General features: G+C 48.4%; 1 protein-coding gene and 1 long non-coding RNA gene across 15 annotated transcripts in view; one reads left to right on the plus strand and one right to left on the minus strand.

The window, feature by feature from the left end:
* HOMER2 (homer scaffold protein 2) overlaps positions 1–21,418 on the minus strand; it is a 151,497-nt gene that overhangs the window by 80,643 nt on the left and 49,436 nt on the right. The window contains exon 1 of one of the 14 annotated variants that reach the window (XM_011522233.4): positions 19,951–19,994. The exons of the other annotated variants lie outside the window; for them this stretch is intronic. Within the exon in view, the coding sequence (XP_011520535.1) occupies positions 19,951–19,979 (29 nt within the window). The 5' untranslated portion in view covers positions 19,980–19,994. Of the gene's footprint in view, positions 1–19,950; positions 19,995–21,418 lie in introns of those variants that run through there. 14 annotated transcript variants of the gene reach the window in all.
* LOC105370928 (uncharacterized) overlaps positions 1–21,418 on the plus strand; it is a 49,172-nt gene that overhangs the window by 22,502 nt on the left and 5,252 nt on the right. The window contains exons 3-4 of the long non-coding RNA XR_007064741.1: positions 2,012–2,063; positions 4,000–4,114. This is a non-coding gene — a long non-coding RNA (uncharacterized LOC105370928). The remainder of the gene's footprint in view (positions 1–2,011; positions 2,064–3,999; positions 4,115–21,418) is intronic.

Below are 21,418 nucleotides of genomic sequence, written 5' to 3' on the forward strand. Positions count from 1 at the left end.
ATTTTTTTAGAAGACTGGAAAAAAACCCCACTGTCTGCCTCTTCCACACCACTGTTGGAGTACTATACCTTGATAGAATTCACTGGGAGGCAATTTATCATCACACATCCAAAGTCTCAGAACTGCCAGGTACAGTGGCTCATGCCTGTAATCCAGGCACTTTGGGAGGCTGAGAGGAGTGGATCACTTGAGCCTAGGAGTTGAAGACCAAGGGAGACCCCTTCGCTACAAAAAACAAACAAACAAACAAACAAACAAAATTTGCCGGGCATGGTGGCACGTGCCTGTAGTCCCAGCTGCTGGGAGGCTAACGTGGGAGGATTGCCTGGGCCTGGGAGTTCAAGGCTGCAGTGAGCTGCCCTGTCTCAAATAAATAGATAAATAAAGCCTTAGAACTGCATACTCCTCAACCCAACAACTCCACTTCTTGGAATCTATTCAAAAGTGATAAATAAGGATATACAAAGATACTTATGCCAAAGGATAGTCACTGAAGAGCTGCTTATTAAAAACAAAAACAAACAAACAAAAATAAACCTGTAAATAAACTAAATGCCCCAAAGTTGAGGATTGGTTAAATTAAGTATGATATATCCGTGCGAAAAGTACCACTTGGCCTTTCAAAATTATAAGTAAATATTTGCTCACATGGAAAGATGGTCTTCTTTTCTTTATGTATTCTGATTGATTCTATACTTCACTGTTACAAAATAAAGAGACCACCCAGTGTTGCTGAGTCCCAGCCTAGCTACAACTTTCTGTCCCCTTCCCTACCAAATAGAATTAGCCAGACCTTGAAGGACTTGAGTGTCACTTGAAACTTCTTGCCTCAGAGGAAACAAAATAATGGGGGGAAACAAAGAATTCATGGGTTCCAGAATTCCAAAAATATTCAGCCAACACTCGGAGCGTGGAGTGAAAAGAGCGAGTTGCTAAACAGCACCATCCTCTGCTCCCATTCTTATAAATATGTGTACAAATATATATTAACTTAACAAATATTTAATCCACAACTATAAAGGAGAGCTGTGCTGGGTGCCAAGAATATCCCAGGAAACAAGACAGCCATGGCCTCAGAATCCAGGGAGATTGGTACCTGTCTGTCTGAGCACCTGTGTGTACATGGGATGAGGTACAAAACAGTGACCCTAAAGCAAGGGTCTTCCGACAGGATTGAGAATAGGTCTATTGCATGCATGTGACGTGAGGACAGCCTTGCTGCAATGAGAAGTCTTATCCAGGCAAGAGAGAGGCCAGTGTCTCTTGCTTCCCAATCTAAAGGTCAAGTGCAGACCCCGCTGGACCAAACAGAACAGGTGTGAGGGTGCTCCAAACACCAGGGTCGGCAGAGGGGGAGAGGTTAAGTACTCTCAAGAGCTTTAGATGGCAAAGGGACAAAGATGACACAAGCTGGATGGGGACTTGGCACTAAGAGAGCTGAGCCCTGAGTTGCCAGCTGCTTGGCCCAAAGTATGGGCTGCTCTGGAAAGAGCCAGAGCCCTCATTTTTTTTTTTTTGAGACAGAGTCTCACTCTGTTGCCAGACTGGAGTGCAATGGCGCGATCTCGGGTTACTGCAACCTCCACCCCCTGGGTTCAAGTGATTATCCTGCCTCAACCTCCCGAGTAGCTGGGATTACAGGCGCACGCCACAATGTCCAGCTAATTTTTGTATTTTTAGTAGAGACGGGGTTTCACCATGTTGGCCAGGATGGCCTCGATCTCTTGACCTTGTGATTCGCCTGCCTCGGCCTCTCAAAGTGCTGGGATTACAGGTGTGAGCCACCGTGCCCGGCCCAGAGCCCTCATTTTACAATTTTTGTTTTTTTCTAACTCACAGTTAACCCACTGAACAAGAAGTACCCATTTCTGATTTGCATTTTCCCTATAAATCCCATTATTGAAAGAGTTTGCCCTTCTAGGCAGAATTTATGAAAAAGTAATTTATTTCCTCATTTCTTCATTGCTCTAAGAAGTCACATATAACCGCCAAACGGTTTTCTAATCTGCAGGATATCACCAAGGTGGCCTCAAGAATTGATAGGATCCCAGCCACAAGTGAAGGTATGTTACCAGCTAGAGCAGGCTGAGAGCAGAACAGCTGCCCTTTATCTTGGGGAAATAGCACAGGCACCTGTCCCTCCTCTCCCAGGGCCCCAGGGGGAACTGCTGGAACAGCCCTTTCCTTCGCACCCAAGGACATGGCACATGATACCAAAGACACATGCAGGAAGGTGCAAGCGGGGAAGATCCGCCCCCGTGGGGACAGCAGCAAACCCCAGTGTATGTGAGAGGGAGAAGTTACGTGTTTAGAATATTATGAGATTGAGGCATTTAAGGGAAGTCTTCAAGGAAGGAAAACTAGTTAAGAAGAATAAACCCATTGTTCTACAGCCATGGTGAGCTTGCTGTAAACACTTGGAAACAGTGTGCCTCCCACCAGCCTTTCATATGCTGCAGGCCTATGCACACAGTAGGCCCAAAATACTTGCTAAACTAGATTATTTGGCTTTAAAATTATATCACATGTGCCCAGCAAGGCAAAACTCATCTCTATTATTTCCCACAATGTCAAGGGCAAAAGTGAAATCAACCTCATCTGGTCTAAGACAGGTGTGGGGGCCCCAAATCCTTATAGTTTAGGGGCGAGACTGCTGCTGAGACTAGAGCCCTGCAGGACTGGGTCAGCCTGCTCCTCAGCTGGACCATCTACTCCGAGGAGCAGCTCGGAGCAGGATCATGGAGAACACCTGGGCAGCAAATGGCCCAGAGCTAACTAGGGACTAAAAGCAGGCAGCATTGCCCGAGCCGCATTACACACTCATCAAAGTCCCAGTGTCTACTCTCATAAGAATCCTTCAAAAATCTAACGCTTGACCCTAGGGACACAGAGATATATAGACGCCATCCCTCCCGGACAGCACTCACTGGCAGTGACTCAGGATGAGTACTGGGTGCAGAAACTCCAGCACCTGAGGGTACAGATACTCAGGCCACGGTGCTCTGGGGTTCAGGTGTCACAGCCAGAGGTCTTTGCCAGGGATCCTCTAGAGCAGGCAGATGCTATTCTCAGGACAGTGTGATCATGTTGGGACAGTGCCCACGGGACAGGATACCACAGTGCTCAGATTTCTCTCCTACCAGGGCCTCATTTCCGTGTCCTACTTGAGTATCAGGCCCCACCTCAGCAGGTGAGGCTGGGTGGTCTGGTGGGGGCTCATTCCCTTAGTTCTTCTCCATGGGGTTTCCCCTCCACACTCACCTCCACAGCTTTGAGGACATGTCTATGTGATGACACCTGAATGTGTACCTCCAGCCCAGGTGTCTCTCCTGAACCCCATGCTTGCACCTTACCTCCCTGCTGCTGTTCTCCCTGCACCCCTATTTCAGTGACTCACACCACTGGATCTGTCACTATGGCAGAAACCTGGGAATCTCACACCCAGCACACAGCAGGAACATCTCCCTCGCTGTCCTCTCCTCAGCAGCCCAGGCTGTCAGCCTCCTACCTAGTAGTGTCCTCCAATGGGCCACAGGTGTGTTGAACTCGGCCCCGTAAATGGCTGTGCAGGGCACAACTCTGAGTGTCAATCATGAAAGACACGCAGACTCATTACATCAACTGCCTGGCAGATCACAGATTTCCAGAAGGTGTCTTAAAGAAGCGTTTTTTTCTAATTTGTACAAAGATGTCACTTGTCCTGGGAAGAAGTAGCCTGCTGAGAAGGGGATCTCAACCCTCAGGGTGCAGAGCAGGGCCTGGGCCACAGGAGTCCCAGGGCTGGGCACTGTTTTGTCCATTTGCCTAGGTGCTGTAAACATATTTTCCATGTGTCCGTGACACTAAAAAGATTGGGAAACACTGACCTAGATTACACCAATAGCCCCTCTGTGCTTCTGGATCTCTTCTGTTGGCAAAAACAAGCTCAGGTCTCTCCCATTTATACCAGACATGTAAGTTAACATGCCTGCTCTACCCAACACCTCTCTCTGCCTTCAGGCCTTACTCAGGGAAGTCACAACGGGTTGCTCGTCCATACAGGATCAAGGACAGGTTGGCCTGTTGGCCAGACGCCCAGCACAAACAGCTCAGCCCAGTGAGGGAGAGTCATTAGGTAAGCCATCAACCACCTCCCTGCAGAATTCAGTCATCATTGTTGCATGTGGAGTCCCTTCTCATACATAATCATACATTACTAGTATAATAATCCAATTATCCAACTCTCCCAACAAAGAGGCTTCACAGATCAAACTGACCTCAGGTTTGAGCATTATTTACAAAAAGGTCAACCAGAAATTAATTGGAACGTCCAGTACCAGGAAGAATCAAGTCAATAAATTAACACAATAGAGTACTATGTAACCCTTTTAAAAAAGAACATTCTTATGACTATATAAATATTGTTCCCTGCAGAGGCAAAAAATGTGCCAGGATTATAGTTCTTTCTGTACAGTTCCAATGTCAACAGCAGAGTGCTACTCACAGGAAAACATTCCTAGTATCAAGGTCAGAGAGAAGCTTCTCCTTTCTAGCACTCTCCCAGTTGTTCAAAAGCAGGCGGTATCTTTCGTGCACTTCATATTTGAAACATGACATGCTTGTGATAATTTTTAATTTTTGTGATGTTTTCCTATTGCCTTCTCTATCGAGGAAAGAAACACAGCCCGTCTTCCCATAACCCTAGTATATTCCAGCTTGTTCACTCTGTCCATTGTCTGGAATCTGCTCCAGTCTCTGTCCTCAAGATATTATTCTTGGAGCCAGTAACTTCCACCTGTAATTTGGAGTGAATGCTTCTGAGGCCCATTCATAGCCATCTGTCCAGAAGTTCTTTTCACCAGACTCCCAGGAGCCATCAATTCTTTTTGCCCACTTCCCCACATCATGACCTCCTTCATAGTCTTCGCCATTGTTTTGCTGTTGTAGATCCTCAAGATGAGCGGGAGGTCAACTTTAAGTCCTTGCACATCAGGAATGGCCTTTACTTTCCCCCTTATACTTGATTGGTTTTGGCTGGATGTATCCTAGGGCTGCTGTACCAAATTCCCACAAACTTGGGGGCTTACATGACAGGAATTTATTTTCTCACAGCTCTGGAGGGCAGAAATCCGCAGTCAGTTGACTGGGCTGAAACCAAGGTGTCGCCAGGGCCATGCTGCCTCCAGAGGCTCTAGGGTTGGAAGCTCTAAGGAAGCATCCATTGCCCCACCTTTCCCAGCTTCTAGAGCTGCGTTCCTTGGCTCATGGCCTCCTCCTCCATCTTCAAAGCCTGCAGCAAAGCATCTTCAAAGCTCTCTGCAGAGATCCTCACATCCTCTTCTCTATTCTGTGTGTAGTAAAATCTCCCTCTGCTACTCTCTTCAGAACACTTGTGATTACACTGGGCCCTGGATAATGCAGGATAACCTCCCCATCTCAAAGTCCTTAACTTATCATATCTGCAAAGACCCTTTAACATATACGGTAACGTAGGTTCAGAAATGAGCATCTGATATATCTATGGGAGACATTTTTTAGCCTACCACTCTGGGGGTAAAACAATCTTTTTTTTTTTTTTTTTTAAGACACAAAGTCTTACTATGTTGCCCAGGCTAGATTCAAATTCTTGGGCTCAAGCAATCCTCTTACTTCAGCCTCCCTAGGAGCTGCGACTACCACAGCACTCAGCTTAAAACAATTGTTTTAAATGGCTTAAAAAAAATGATTTTCAGACGGGCATGGTGGCTCACACTTGTAATCCCAGCACTTTGGGAGGCCAAGGTGGGCAGATCACCTGAGGTCAGGAGTTCAAGACCAGGCTGGCCAACATGGGGAAACCCCATCTCTACAAAAAATACAAAAAATTAACCAGGTGTGGTGGCACACACCTGTAATCCCAGCTAGCTGAGGCACGAAAATCACTTGAACCCGGGAGGCGGAGGTTGCAGTGAGCCAAGATCGCACCACTGCACTCCAGCCTGGAGGACAGAGTGAGACTCCATCTCAAAAAAAACAGGTTTTCCCTCATGTGCCACTGTGCAGGCCTTGCTCCACTCTTCTCCTGTCATCTTATCTGATGAGAAGCTGCTTCTGCTGGCTCCTCCTCCCCTTCCGGACTCCTTGGTGCTGGAGCACGTCACACTTTCCCCCTTTCCCCACGCTGATCTGAGCTGATACCATGCTTCCAAATACCATCCGCCTACCCTGGATGCACGCCAGACCAAGGAAGACTTTATTCTAGAATGCCAACATCCACACTCCCAGTCTTGGCTCTGCCAGTGGAGTCCACTCGTCCCCCATCCCGCTGATATGCACAGTGTCCCTGTGGCAGGAGTATCACCTAGTATCACCTGAGACCTCCAATTAAAGCCCCAGCTTCAGCACCACTTCTCACTCCTGCCCTTGCTGGACCTGCAGACTCAGTTCAGAGGGTCTCTGGGGTTGTGCAGGGCAGACTGGTCAGCTACCCCAACTCCCTGTGGCCCCTCCACTCAGACTCTGGGCTCTGGTCTCCTCTGTGCTATATTTCTGACATTGCCTTTCCTCTACTAGCTTTCTATGGTCCAGAAATTTATTGTAATCTCTCAACTACTGATAATTCCCTCCCATTCATTTTGCTGTCCTGGGATTATACTTTTCATAATCTCCTTATTATCATTTTAATGGGTTCTGGGGAGAGAAGGTATAAATAAGCACAAGTGCTGAATCCTCCATCTTGAACATTAAGTTAATCTCATTCATTTTTCAGTTATAACTTGCATATGCTTAAAAGATAACAGATATTCTATTCTAAGCTCCTTGTCCAAGGGCTCCTATTGGTGGGAGGTTGGAGGTGGGCTTGGCACATTCAGATTTACATCCCAGCTTGTCACACCCACCCCACCTCCAACACTGAAAGACCTTCCTTGTATGAGCACCACTGCCCCTGACACAGATCTGCCAGGACACTTTAAGGAACTGGCAAACATATGTGGGGTTTCCTCTTTCCAGGATTTGTTTTAAAGCAAATGAGTTCCATGGCCTTCCCTATAATGCCAGACTACAGGCATTGAGGCATTAAGAGAATGCACAACTCTAAATCAAGAACACTTTTTGCAGGTTCTATCAGCCCAAGAGAACCTTTTTACTCAAAAGTAAAGCCTGCATGATACCTCCCTGCTTTACAAAGCCTCAAGTTTAAAAATAAACATGGGCATTTGAAGGAGCACAAAAATAGTTTGTGTCCACAGCTTTACATAGCCCAGCGGCACTAGGTATATGCTGGCTCGGAAGAAGCCGAGAGAGGCCACATTCAATAGAAAGTTAGCCCTTGTGAACCTCAAACGAGTGAGACACAAGTGAAGGGAGCCTTTTTTTATGCTTGATTCCCTTGTACTACACAGGGCCAACTGCACTCCATTCAAACCAACCACAGGTGTCCGCCTGTCCAGCTATTCATGAACAGGTTGTGAAGGCAGCCTTCTGAGCCAAAATCCAAGTCCTCACTCAGCCTTTGTCTCCACCTAACTTTGTCATCTCCTCCCTATCAATCCCTGCACCCAACCTACAGGCTTAACAGATGTCCCTGCTCACCCCATACCTGTGCTTTCCGAGGAGCTGTGCCTTCCTCCAGAATGCCCCCTGCTCATGTCACCCCTGCACTGAGCACACCACCCCCAGGTCAGAATCCTACCACCCTTCAGGGCAAAGTGCAAATTGGTCACCTCTTCCATCAGAGGCACGTGGCTCCAACACCAGACTGGGTTCTCTCCCTGGATACCAGCTCTCTCTATACCTCACTCGTGGCCGTCATATGTTATTCAGGCTCATCTTTGGGTAGCTAGAGATGTGTTCCCCCCAAATTGGGCTGCAAGTCCCCTTGGGTAGGGATCAGGTTTTCATTTCTGGGGCCCCTGTAGTGCCTTGATAAAAGAGGTGCTTGGGCCAGGCGCAGTGGCTCACACCTATAATCCCAACACTTTGGGAGGCTGAGGCAGGGGCATCACCTGACGTCAGGAGTTCGAGACGAGCCTGGCCAACATGGTGAAACCCCATCTCTACTAAAAATACAAAAAATTAGAGGGGTCTGGTGACACGTGCCTGCAGTCCCAGCTACTCAGGAGGCTGAGGCATGAGAATTGCTTGAACCTGGGAGGTGGAGGTTGCAGTGAGCTGAGATCACGCCATTGCACTCCAGCTTGAGTGACAGAGCAAGAGTCCGTCTCAAAAAAAAAAAAAAAAAAAGGTGCTTGATGTTGTGGCCAGAGGCTTTGAGTGAACCCCAGTCTCAGAGGGCTCAGAGTGACCAGCTCCTGCCTAGTGGGACCCTGTGTAATTCCAAAAAGCAAACAGCAGCTCTTTGTTGGACAGTACAGGGAGCTGAGAACATGCTCTACAGCAGAACCGCTAGATAATGTTCTCCTCCCATGCACGCATGCAAGTGTGCACATACCCACCCACACTCACGCAGGGTATGCTGAGGTACACTGACCCTCTCGGCTCCTGGCAGGGCCTGACAGCTGGAACCCTGGCTTATGGTTGATCTTACCATCAACCTCCTTCATTTTCCCCAGTCGGTTGTACAAGTGACCCTTCCCAATGCGCCCTGCCTGGTCTGAAAGAGGCTGTAAAGCACAGCTCTACCAGGGTAAATTTAAGGGTCATGACTACATCTTACGTGCCGTGTCTCAGCCAGAATTAAGACAGAGCTTGGCACCCAGGAAATGTGTCAACAAAGAGGTGAGAGAGAGGCGTGCAGACATAGAGAGACAGAGAAAGAGAGAACAAGAGGTGATGGGAGCAAGCACTCAGTAAAGTTCCTTGTACACTTCTTTGGGTTTGGAAAGAAAAGGTACGGAGTATTGGTAGGTCTTCAGCACACAGAAGTAAGCAGCTAACAGAAGACCGGCACATTCTCCCGTCACTCTGGAGTGCTTTGGCTGCTGTGTGGGTAACGGGTTAAGATCAATCAGATGTGGGGCTATGGTACTGGATCTTCTAGAGTTTATTCTCCCTTTGGAAAAGGTTCAATGCTTGACTTTTAGTAAAATGAGGCTGCCAGCAGGTGTCTAGACAGCTGGGGCCCATGTGTGCTGGCCCTTTTTTTTTTTTTTTTTTTGAGTCTGGCCCCAGAACAGCCCCTGCTTGTTCCCATGCACCAGGGACATGTCACTTGTCTTCTCCAAAGGGCCACATGGCTTGTGTGTGTAGACTTCTCCCGACTTCACTTTTATCTTCTTCAAGCTTCCATCCTCAGATTGACATGTTTCCATGCACATTTACATCTTAGGGCTTCAGGGCAATTCACAGTCTGCTCCTAAGAGATCTGTTTTCTAAACAGAAAATGCCTTTCCATGGTCATACGGCAATGCTTGCTAAGATCCGCTCCCCGCAATCTCAGCAGAACCTTGGAAAAGGTACTTCCTGGAGGTTCTAGTGCTTATTGATCACCTGTTGTGGGCTGGGCATCATGCTGGGCACTGACATACATCTCACCCAATTTTCCCAACAACCTTGAGAAATCGGCATCTATACTTTGTTTCACAGAGGAAAACAGAAAGGAAAAAAAGATTAAGTAACTTGTCCAAAGCCACACATAGCTACTCAGTGACAGTCACCTAAGCCCAACGTGATGCTCCAGGGTCCCTTTACTTTGTTCCATTGTGCATATCATCAGTTATTTCCCACACCTTTGTTCTACCCACTCTTCTCCCAGACCACCTCAGCCCTTTTCCTCTCCCCCTACCACTATGTTTAGGCTGAAGCCCTTGAGGTGCTCAGCTGATCTTGGGGTAAACAGGTTCATCCTTATCCATCCCTTACCAAAGCTGTCATCTCAGGCCTTAAGGAATGATTCAGAAATCCCAAGCCTCTCATCAATAGGATCTCCACAGCCTTTCCCAAAGTCCCACTCAGGAGAAAGCCCAAAAATACTCCTTAAGTTCCCAAAACCTTCAGGTTCCAGCCCAAGGTTTCACAGCCCCTGCAGGTGCCTCTCACGCCTGTTTAGACCATGTTCATCAACCAGCCATGGGGTCAGTAAGATGGGGCATTAGGCAGGACCTGGTGCCTCAACAGCCAGCCCCCTGGGTGGCCACACAGAACCTCCATGTGGTCCCCTGGGTCTCTCTGTAGCCACCAGCTACCACAACAGGTCTCTTCCTCCCATGATAGCAGCCTGAACTGCCTAGGACCATGTGTGTCAGTTTCAGAGGGTGGCATGCATAAAATGAGGATTCTAGATGGGCTGGAGTTAGTTTGCACTACCTTGGGAAATCCTCTTTCTCTCAAGCTCCTTGTCCACATTCAGCCCCCAGAACTGTTCAGAGAAATTTCCCTTTGGCTGTGTAACCCTTAAGAGTTCCTTCTTCCCTTTGACCTCCTCTAGCCCAACCCACCACCCTCTCAAATGTCACTTCCTCAGGGAAGCCTTCCCAGCCCCTCCATACCAGGTTAGATACCTATTATTTGCTTTCATGGCACCCCATAATTCTCCTTCAGAACATTTTCACAGCTGGACCACTAGGCTCCTCATTGCCCCTTCTAGATAATTCTCTTCCCCCTCCCTAAAATTCCCCAGCCCTGAATCTCCTATCATCAGACTCTGTCAACCACCAACCCCCATGATACTCCCCCTCATTTCTCAATGATTTTAGCTCTAGATCACAGTCCCTCTCTCCTACACTAATCTTGTCTTGATTCTTTGTGATTTCAATACACACATAGATGGTTCTTCCAGCTGGGCTCAGTTCTTGACCTTCTCTTCTCTTGCCTCTCCAACTCCCTGTCATAACCTTTCATTACCAGTAAGTCCAACCCATCTATAATCTTCATGTCATATATCCCACTCCCTGACACTGACACACACTGTCCCAGTCCACACGGGCTGCTATCACAAAATACGAGAGGCTGCGTATAGCTTATAAACAACAGAAATTTATTTCTCACAGTTCTGATGAGAGGTCCAAAGTCAAGGTGCCAGTAGATTTGGTGTCTGGTGAGGGCACACTTTCTGACTCACAGATGGCATACTCTCACTGTATCCTCATGTGATGGAAGCAGCAAGGCAGCTCTCTCAGGCCTCTTTTATAAGGACCGCTTTAGTTTGTCTGTCCCCTCCAAAACTCATGTTGAAATTTAATTTCGACCAGGTGGGGTGGCTTACACTTGTAATCCCAGCACTTTTGGAGGCCGAGGCAGGCAGATCATCTGAGCTTAGGAGTTTGAGACCAGCCTGGCCAACATGGTGAAACCTCGTCTCTACTAAAAATACAAAAATTAGCTGGGCGTGTTGGCACACACCTGTAATCCCAGCTACTCAGGAGGCTGAGGCAGGAGAATCACTTGAGCCCAGAAGGTGGAGGTTGCAGTGAGCTGAGATTGTGCCACTGCACTCCAGCCTGGGCAACACAGCAAGACTGTCTTCAAAAAGAAAGAAAGAAAGAAATGTAATTGCCATTGTAACAGTATTAAGAGGTGGAGCCTTGAAGAGGTGATCAGACCATGAGGGCTTCACCCTCATGGGGAGGATTGATGCCATTATACAAGGGTGAGTTCCACCCTTTTTTCTCTCTCTTTGCCCTTTCATTATGTGATGACAAGCAAGACCCTCCCCAAATGCCTGCACCTTGATACTAAACTACCCAGCCTCCAGAATGGTAAGCCAGTAAATTTCTGTTCATTACAAATTACCCAGACTGTAGTATTCTGTTACAGCAGCACAAAATGGACTAAGACAGGAACTAATCCCTTTAATGAGGGCTCTACTCCTATGACCTAATCACCCCAACAAAGTCCCCACCTCCTAATACCATCACATTCATGATTTGATTTCAACATATGAATCCGTGGGGGACACAAACATTCAGGCTCTAGCACATATGATGCCACTCCCAGCCCAGCCCATACTCCCAGTCATCGACACCTGCCTCTGTTGTGTCCCACAACACTTACCACCTTCTAACATGCCATGAAATTTACTTATTTGTTGTTTTCATTTAATGCATGTCTCATTAAAATGTAAGCTTCAAAAGGCAAGAATTCTTGTCTGTCTGGTTCATGGATATCATCACTCCCATGAACAGTGCCTAGCCTACACTAGATACTTAACAAATACTCACTGAATGAGTGAATTATAATTGAGGAATTACTTTTGTAATAATTACTCACCTCTTACCTAGGACGGAGGAGCTTGAAACTCCCAATTTCTATAGCGATAAAGTGTTGCTTGATTGGGAAACCAGTCCTGGAAACCACACTGCAATTTATATATTTTATATTCCATAATTGAGTAATTATTTTTATAATATTCAATTCCCATGTTCCTTGCTATACTGTAAGCTCTACAAGGACAGGGGCAAGTACTCAGTAAATATTAGTTAACTGCGTGAATGGAGGAGCAAAGTTAGGATGTAAGAAGTGCACTGCTGGCTGGGCGCAGTGGCTCACGCCTGTAATCCCAGCACTTTGGGAGGCCAAGGTGGGTGGATCACGTGAAGTCAGGAGTTCAAGATCAGCCTAACCAACATGGTAAAACCCCATCTCTACTAAATACAAAAAATTAGCCGGGCATAGTAGTGCATGCCTGTAATCCCAGCTACTTCGGAGGCTGAGGAAGGAGAATTGATTGAAACCGGGAGGCGGAAGTTGCAGTGAGCTGAGATTGTGCCATTGTGCATTCCAGCCTGGACAACAAGAGCAAAAACTCCGTCTCAAAAAAAAAAAAAAAAAAAAAAGTGCACCGCTAGGCTACTTCTGCCCCTCCACGGCAGCATGACTGCCCATGTGGGATGACTGCGGGCCCGGCCCAACTCTGTATCCTCTCAACCACTATAGTATTGGCAGTGGTTTCTCTGCTAGAAATGCACTGCTGGCCTAAAGACCAGCCAGAAGTACACTACTGGGCTAAATCTATTGTGTGCAAGGGTAACCTCCACCTGGACTGCTTGGACGCAGCTCTCTTCCCACTGGCGGCCACCGCAACACAGGTAACCTAAATAAAGCTGTTGATTCTGATAACCCCAAGCACAAAACATTGGAAGCCTTTAGAACATGAGAGGTCTGAGCACATAGACTGGTTTCTGTTTCCGCCATGCAAATATTTAATTGCATGGATGTAGGGGGAAATGGACTTTACCTGTTACCAAGAACAGTTCCAAAGACTTCCTAAAAATTTTCATTCTAAAACCAGATTACCTACTCCAGCTCTCTTTTGGTTAGAAAACAAAAGCAAATAAAAAATAAAAACAGATTACCTAGAAGACTGCAACCATGAATAACCAGCAATAAATACTTAACAAGATCCTATCTAGGTTCAGATCATAATTTTAGACTGTAACTTCTTCATCAAGCTGCATTCGTTATTCACTAGGTTAGTTTAGCCTTTAATGGGTAGACTTGCTCCAAGAAAAAGGGCATATAAATAAATTAAACAACCGATTTTTGTAAGATGCATAAAGAACCAAATTTCACTTCTCAAAGTCAGTCTCACCTCTCACCTAGGATAGAGGAGCTTGAAACTCCCAACTTCTATGGAGATAAAGTGCTGTTTGATTTGAGAAACCAGTCCCGAAAACCACATCACCTTCCCTCTCACATTCCCAACAGATGAATCCTATTACAGCCAGGAGAGCCCCATCTACAAAAAAACAGCTGTAACAACTGGCAAAAAAATAAAAACTAAAAAAAAAAAAAAAAAAAAGCTGTCATGCATCTTTGAGACAATCAACAATGCAGACGACCATCTAAAGTGTGAATCATTGCTGGGTATGGAAAAGATTCTGATTCAAGGCCAAAAAGAGGGTGAGCAATGTGGGCTTTGGGGAGCTTACAACCCTGCTGTGTGTCAAGATTAGTATCAATACAGCCGATCATAGACCCAGCCTAACAGGCTTAACTTATTTGAGATTTAGATTCCTACCACGTAATCTGAATAATGCCTTCATAGAAGTGATCGTAATATACAATCCAACAGGATCAAAGAACTAAATCATTCTGAGAAACTCTGCTGAAACCTGAGAAAAAGGACCAGGGAGAAGCTGGGAGATAGATGGATGAGAAAGGGAAGACAAGGAAAACGGCTTAGCAGGTTCTGAGCAAAAGAAATCCATAGGAGGCCAGGCACGGTGGCTCACGCCCGTAATCCCAGCACTTTGGGAGGTCAAGGCGGGTGGAACACCTGAGGTCAGGAGTTCAAGACCAGCCTGCCCAACATGGAGAAACCCCGTCTCTACTAAAAATACAAAAATTAGCCAGGTGTAGTGGTACACACCTGTAATCCCAGCTACTTGGGAGGCTGAGGCAAGAGAATCACTTGAACCCAGGAGGCGGAGATTGCAGTGAGCCGAGATCGCGTCACTGCACACTCCAGCCTGGGTGACAGAGTGAGACTATCAAAAAAAAAAAAAAAAAAAAAATCAAAGGAAGCCTCGGCTACTAGCCTCCACCCTGTTACAGGTATGCTAACACAGTTTTGTTGTTTTTTTTTTGAGACGGAGTTTCGCTCTTGTTGCCCAGGCTGAAGTGTAGGGGCAGGATCTTGGCTCACCTCAACCTCCGCCTGCTGGGCTCAAGTGATTCTCCTACCTCAGCCTCCCGAGTAGCTGGGATTACAGGCATGTGCCACCACGCCTGGCTAATTTTGTATTTTTAGTAGAGATGGGGCTTCTCCATGTTGGTCAGGCTGGTCTTGAACTCCGACCTCCAGTGATCCGTCCGCCTCGGCCTCCCAAAGTGCTGGGATTACAGGCGTGAGCCACCACGCCCGGCCTAACACAGCTTTTCTGAGGCACATCTCTGCTTTTGGTTTTAGACTTCAAGTTGTACTCTTGAAATAAAGGCTGTTTTTCTCATGGAACTATAAAAGTCTCACAAAATGTGACCCTCTGGGTGACTTCCCTCAGGGTCGGACCACACACATAACCACCAACTTCACTCTGTGTGCTGGCTGTGTGACCTTAACCAAGTCACTCCACCTCTCTCAACTCTAGTTTATCCATAAAATGTGAAGCTCAAATGAAATACCGTATAAAGGGAGTCAATAAGTATTAGTTACCCCGGCAGAACTCACTCTTCCACAGAAACCATGTAAGATACCACAAGGACCGCCTGGCATGACCTGACGTCTGTACAGCATGCCATCCTGCAGCCTCAGAGGTAAGCGTCCGGTGCAATCACAGAGTGCACAGACAGCCAGGAAGCAGCTCTGAGATGCCATCACTGCCCCTGAAGGGAGGGTCTTCTGCCTGAAGATAAAGTAGCCTTTTCCCTGCACAGATTCTCCAGAAGTTTCCACCAAGTGTACAGAGAAACCACTGCCAATACTATAGTTGTTGGGAGGATACAGACTTGGGCCTGGCCCACAGTCATCCCACATGGACAGTCATGTGGCAGTGGAGGGGCAAATTAAGGCCAGCTAAGAATTCACTGTTTGTCTGATACAAACAGCTGATGGATGCAGCTTTTCAGCAGAAAACTTGCATTCTGGCTGGGTGTGGTGGCTCATGCCTGTAATCCAAGAACTTTGGGAGGCCGAGGAGGGTAGATCACTTGAGGTCTGGAGTTTGAGACCAGCCTGGCCAACATAATGAAACCCCGTCTCTACTAAAAATACCAAAGTTAGTCGGGTGTGGTGGCGGGCACCTGTAATCCCAGCTACTTGGGGGGGCTGAGGCAGGAGACTCACTTGAACCCGGGAGGCGGAGGTTGCAGTGTGCCCTGTGCACCTCCTGCCCTGTGCACACCCCGCCTATGAGAGGTGCTCTTGGGCTCCCTCAGTTGCCCATACAGAGCCAAGATCTAGCCACTGCACTCTAGCCTGGACGACAGAACAAGACACTGTATCAAAAAAAAAAAAAAAGCTTGCATTCTACCACATGCCACCTTCATCCTCTTTTATGACATTTCCAGGGTTATGCCAATTTCACCAAATGCCTAAAAGGCAGTATTTGAAGCTGTACCAATTTTTGCTATGAGGACAACTTCGTCCAGCACCCACAGAGCTCTGCCCTTGAGAGACAGGCCCCCTGGGGCCACAGTGTGACCAGCCTGGGCTGACACTGCCATTCTTAGTGTACTCCACTTAATTATTTAAGGCATGAGGCATTGTTTCCTTCTCAAGGCAAAGCTTTCAGAACATTTAAAATTCATGGGAGAAGCCAAGGAGTAGCTTTTTTTAGCTCCCTCCCTTGAAGCCAGTGATATGGCTTTCAATCAGGCTGTGGGATTCCAATTCCAGTTTTTCAGAATATTTCATCCTTGGTGAAGCATGCCTGCTTTAAAAAAAAAAAAAAAAAAAAGGCCAGGTGCGGTGGCTCATGCCTATAATCCCAGCACTTTGGGAGGCCGAGGCAGGCAGATCACGAGGTCAGGAGATCGAGACCATCCTGGCTAACACGGTGAAACCCCGTCTCTACTAAAAATACAAAAAATTAGTTGGGTGTGGTGGCATGCACCTGTAGTCCCAGCTACTCAGAAGACTGACGCAGGAGAATCGCTTGAACCCAAAAGGCAGAGGTTGCCATGAGCCGAGATCGCGCCACTGCACTCCAGCATGGGCGACAGAGCGAGACTCCGTCTCAAAAAACAAAACAAAACAAAACAAAACAAAACTGACAGAAGAAAAAGAGAGGACACTCTCACAAAGTCAAACTCAATTAACCAGCAGTTCTGTCTCACAGGAGTCACTTTAAATTTACTGAATCTGATTCTGTTAGTGCCAAAGAAAGACAGGAGCCCTAACCATCACTAGGAACACACTGGGTGAGGGGAAGACAGGACTTTCTACTACGAGATAAAGCTGTGCTCAAACCCAGGCCTGGGGGGCCTAATTCAGCACTCTTCTCACCCAACTCCATCCATATTATGGAAGACAGCCCAATGCTAGAGACCATCTAGGTGGGCAAGCAAAGGCCTATGCAGGAGAGCTCATTCCCGAGTAAGATGTAGGGAAGAGGGCCGGGCGTGGTGGCTCACGCCTGTAATCCCAGCACTTTGGGAGGCCAAGGAAGGTGGATCACTTGAGGTCAGGAGTTTGCGACTAGCATGGCCAACATGGCAAAACCCTGTCTCTGCTAAAATCACAAAAATCAGCCAGGCATGGTGGTGCGCACCTGTAGTCCCAGCTACTTGGGAGGCTCAGGCAGGAGAATCGCTTGAACCTGGGAGCTGGAGGTTGCAGTGAGCCAAGATCACACCACTGCACTCCAGCCTGAGCCTGGGCAACACAGCAAGACTCTGTCTCAAAAAAAAAAAAGAAAAAAGAAAAAAAAAGACCTGGGGAAGAGCTACCCACCACACCCCAAGGCAATGCCATACGGAACAGTATTCTCACACCACAGAGGAGTAATTGAGGCCCCAAGACAAGCTGATGGTGCACTCCCTAAGATGAGAATTAATGCGCTGCCTCCTGAGCCACACCCCTGAGCCTCCACAAGGGCTTCATCACTCCCGCAAAGCTCGGCCCTCAAGACACTCTCTCTGAGGATGAGGAAAACCCAGCAATGTTCAAAGCTGTTTACTCCTCAGAACAAGGTTTGGACAAAGCTTTTGGCGGCATCACAGGCCTTCTCCTCCTGCCTCCTGCCCTGTGCACACCCCAACTGTGAGAGGTGCTCTTAGGCTCCCTCAGATGCCCACACAGAGCCAAAGCTGGGCTCCCTCCCACCGATCTGAACCCCACTGGGTGGGTCCACATAGAGCAAGCTCCCCACCACAAACGGCAGCTGGTAATCTACAGGGGGGCGGCTCTCTCCTCCCCGTGCCCTCACTGTCAGCTCAAGTTGTCCCTTCTCTAGGCTAAGTATGCCCAAGTCCTTTAAACAGGTGGTGCTAATCTCCTTTGGATCAAGGACCCCTTTGAAAATCTGATAAAAAAAAAAAAAACTATGGACACCCTCCCCAGACAAGCACACACTTATCTACAACTCTCCATAGGATGGGCAGGGGTGTTCAGAGACCCCACATCCCACATTAAGAACCCTTCCTTGAGATGAGGTCTTGCTCTGTCATCCAGGATGGAGTGCAGTGGTGCAATCATGGCTCACTGCAGCCTCGACCTCCTGGGCTCAAGGAATTCTGCTGTCTCAGCCTCCTGAGTAGCTGGGACTACAGGTGCATGCCACCACACCCAGCTAATAAAAAAAGAAACAACAACACAAAAAATGACTGGTAGGGAAGAGGTCTCACTACATCACCCCAGGCTGATCTCGAACTTGTGGCTTCAAGCAATCCTCCCACCTCAGCCTCCCAAAGTGCTAGGTTTACAGGTGTGAGCCACTGCACCCAGCCAAGAACCCCACCTTCTCATCATTCTCACAGAAACATGCCCAGACCCCTCCTGCTCTGCATTCTCTCCTCCAAATGTCCTTCCATACATCTATACTTAGGGGACCTCTGGTGCCCAGAACCAAACGCAGGGTTCTAGATGGGAGCGGGGCAGGCCCACTGCCTCCTTTCCTACAGTGCTTTCACACTTCACTAAGGTCTTCAGAGTTTGAGGCAGCATCCTGGCAACCACATCACCAGGGCTGACTCACAGGGAGCTCACCTTCCACTCGAAATCCCCAAGTCTCTCTCACACTCACGAAAGACCCGCCCCACTCCCCATGCCCAAGACATGAATAGGTGCCATCACTCTACCTTGGGAAGGGGTGGACACCACACTTCCCTGCCACCCAGCAACACGCAGAGTTCTCCCTGCCCTGGATGTTCCCAAATCTGAGCCGGTCCTTCCCGCTCCCTATCCTCCCACACTCACAGGAAATCCTTCTGGAAATCAGCAGGCCTCAGCATCCCTGGCCAGAACACTCTCTTCACTTTCATGCCTTACTGGAAACCAGTGAGTCCCTGAGAGCAACACTCCCCACCGCCCCCCACATATGCAGAACAGAAAGGGAGGGGGAAGGGTATCCTGGTGGCCCCCATCATGCAGTCCCTCTGTGCCCTGGAGGCGAGGTCATTCAGCCACCTGTTCCCACCCACCTTCGCCTGCCTCCACGTTACTTTCTGCCACCCACCAAGGGCTTCAGCTCCTGGCCCAGCCTCCTCTTCCGCCCACCACCTGTCACCATCCACAGAGATAACCCTCAACACCCTGGACTCAGTTCCTCAGCCTCTTCCACTCCAATGCCTCCTTCCCCATGCTCCTTTAGTGACCCTCACCCACAGCCATACCCTGGAATCCTCCATCACCTTAAAACATGAGCTGCAGATCCCTTGCTTCCCGCCCACACCACCCATCCTCCCAGTTCCCCGCACATGCATTTCCCATCTCGCAGAGACCTCCAGGCCACTGATTTACTTCCCCACTCCACCAGCCACCTCCCGGCCTCCCTTTCTTCCTGGGAGGGCCCATGTCCATCCCATGGTCTCTCATGGTTACCAATCCCCGGTGGATCCTGCCCCCCTGCCTGGCCGAACCCCAGCCTGATGCCTTCTGCCACCTGCTTCCTCCACACCCACACCCACGCCACTGGGCAAGGTCAAAACAGGGTGGACAAGTTTCACTTTAAATTCATGTTCTCTGACCTCAAACTGTCACTCTGCAGTGGCCGACAGGCCTGTGTTTCTCTGGTAGCCTTGCCGCCCACTCCCGGAAAACAATTTCACATCACCTTCTCCTCCAGCTTCCCACACCCTGTCCCCCACTCACGCTCTCTGCTGACGACCCTGCCTCATACTTCAGATGGAAAAGAAGAGCCACAGATGGGAACTCTGTCTTCCCACCACACCAATCCCGCCTGCATCTCTGTCATGGTGGCCTCCTTCCCTGGGGCTCTGAACCACAGCCTCTCATCTTCTCAAGGCCTGGGCTCCTCTGCCCCCCGCCTTCAACTGGCAGCGCTCCCCTCACACCTCGCCTGCTGCATCTCCTGCCTTCAATGCTTCCCTCCGCACCTGCGCCCTCTCATGTATGGTCCTATTTCTCTGCTCCCTTAACAGTCAACTTCTTCAAAATGTGGTCCACATAACCCTGCTCCCCAGCCTCGCACTCACCTTCCAACCCACCTGGCTCCTGGACCCATCTCAGCAGTGCTCAAACCAATGCCCAAACTCTCCTGCTTAGGACACTTCTCCACTGGCCACCCTGAGGCCACCACACCTCACTGGCCACTCCTCCTCTATCTTCTCTGCTGGCTCTTCCTCCTCTATGGCCACCTAAAGGATGGGTGTTACACACTCAATCCTGAGCCCTCTCCTTCTCTGCCTGCCCTCCCTCCCTGGGTGACCTCACTAGCCTTCTCCCAGCTGACCTCTCGGCTAAGCCACAGATTCATACAATTACCTACCTCCTCCCCAGCTCCACCTCCACTCACCCCCTCAACCTGAACCTGTTGATACTGAATTTGACTCCCACACCCCCATCCTAACTTGCTCCTCTTCCAGACTTCCCTACATCTCCTAGTGGCATAACCTAAAACCCAAAGGGGCCTTCTTTATTCTCTCCCTCTCCCTCATCCCTTATGCCATATCTCATCCATCTGAAGGTTCTTACAAATCCATCTGCAAGCCTTCTGTAGAACCCACCCACTTCTGTCTCCTCTGTGACCTTCTCAGCCTCAGCCAGCAACCACTTTGACCTGGAGACCTTCGATGGGTCTCCTTGCTTCCTTCAACTGTTGTCCCCTTCCACTGCATCCCCCACAGAGCAGAAGTGTGCTCTTCTTAAATCTGAAGAAGGATCATGCTGCAGCCCTGCTAAAACCTTTCACTTTTATTGAATCATACTGCCCATCAAATAAAACCGCCAGTCCATGCCTCAGCTCAATTTCGTCCTCGCATACGTCTTTCTCCAATCTGAGACAGGGTGCCCTCCCCTCACTTGCTGCAATCCTGCCCTGCTGGTCTGACTTCAGTCTCTCAAACATTCCAGACATCCCCCTCCTACTTGCAGTCTTTGCACCTGCTCTTTCCTCCACCTAGAACGCTCTGCTCCCTTTCTGCACATGCGGTAGCAGCCTAAATGTCACCACCTCTTCAGAGGGGCATCTCACAACCACACATTCTAAAGTCGGTCTCAGCCCTTGCTTTTTTCCCTCTGGCACTAAGCACAACCTGCAGTTATTTTATTTGTGGATCCATTTACAGGTTGTGTTTTCAGGGGAGGGGCCAGGGACAGGTGGAGCTGTCTCCCTCACTAGAATGTAAATTCCACACAGAGAGGGATGGTGTCTGTTTTGCTCACCATTGATTACATGTTGAAATGATACTATTTTTGGTATATTGGATTAAAATTTTAATTTCACTTGTTTCTTGTCAATCTTTTAATGTGGATACTGGAAAACTTAAAATTACATACATGGTTCTCCTATTTCTTTTTTTTGTTTGTTTTTGAGACAGACTCTTGCTCTGTCACCCAGACTGGACTGCAGTGGCGTGATCTCAGCTCGCTGCAACCTCCGTCTCCCAGGTTCAAGCGATCCTCCCACCTCAACCTCACAAGTAGCTGGGACTGTAGGTGCAT

The sequence above is a fragment of the Homo sapiens genome, chromosome 15 (genome assembly GCF_000001405.40).
Source record: "Homo sapiens chromosome 15, GRCh38.p14 Primary Assembly".
Taxonomy (NCBI): Eukaryota; Metazoa; Chordata; class Mammalia; order Primates; family Hominidae; genus Homo; species Homo sapiens.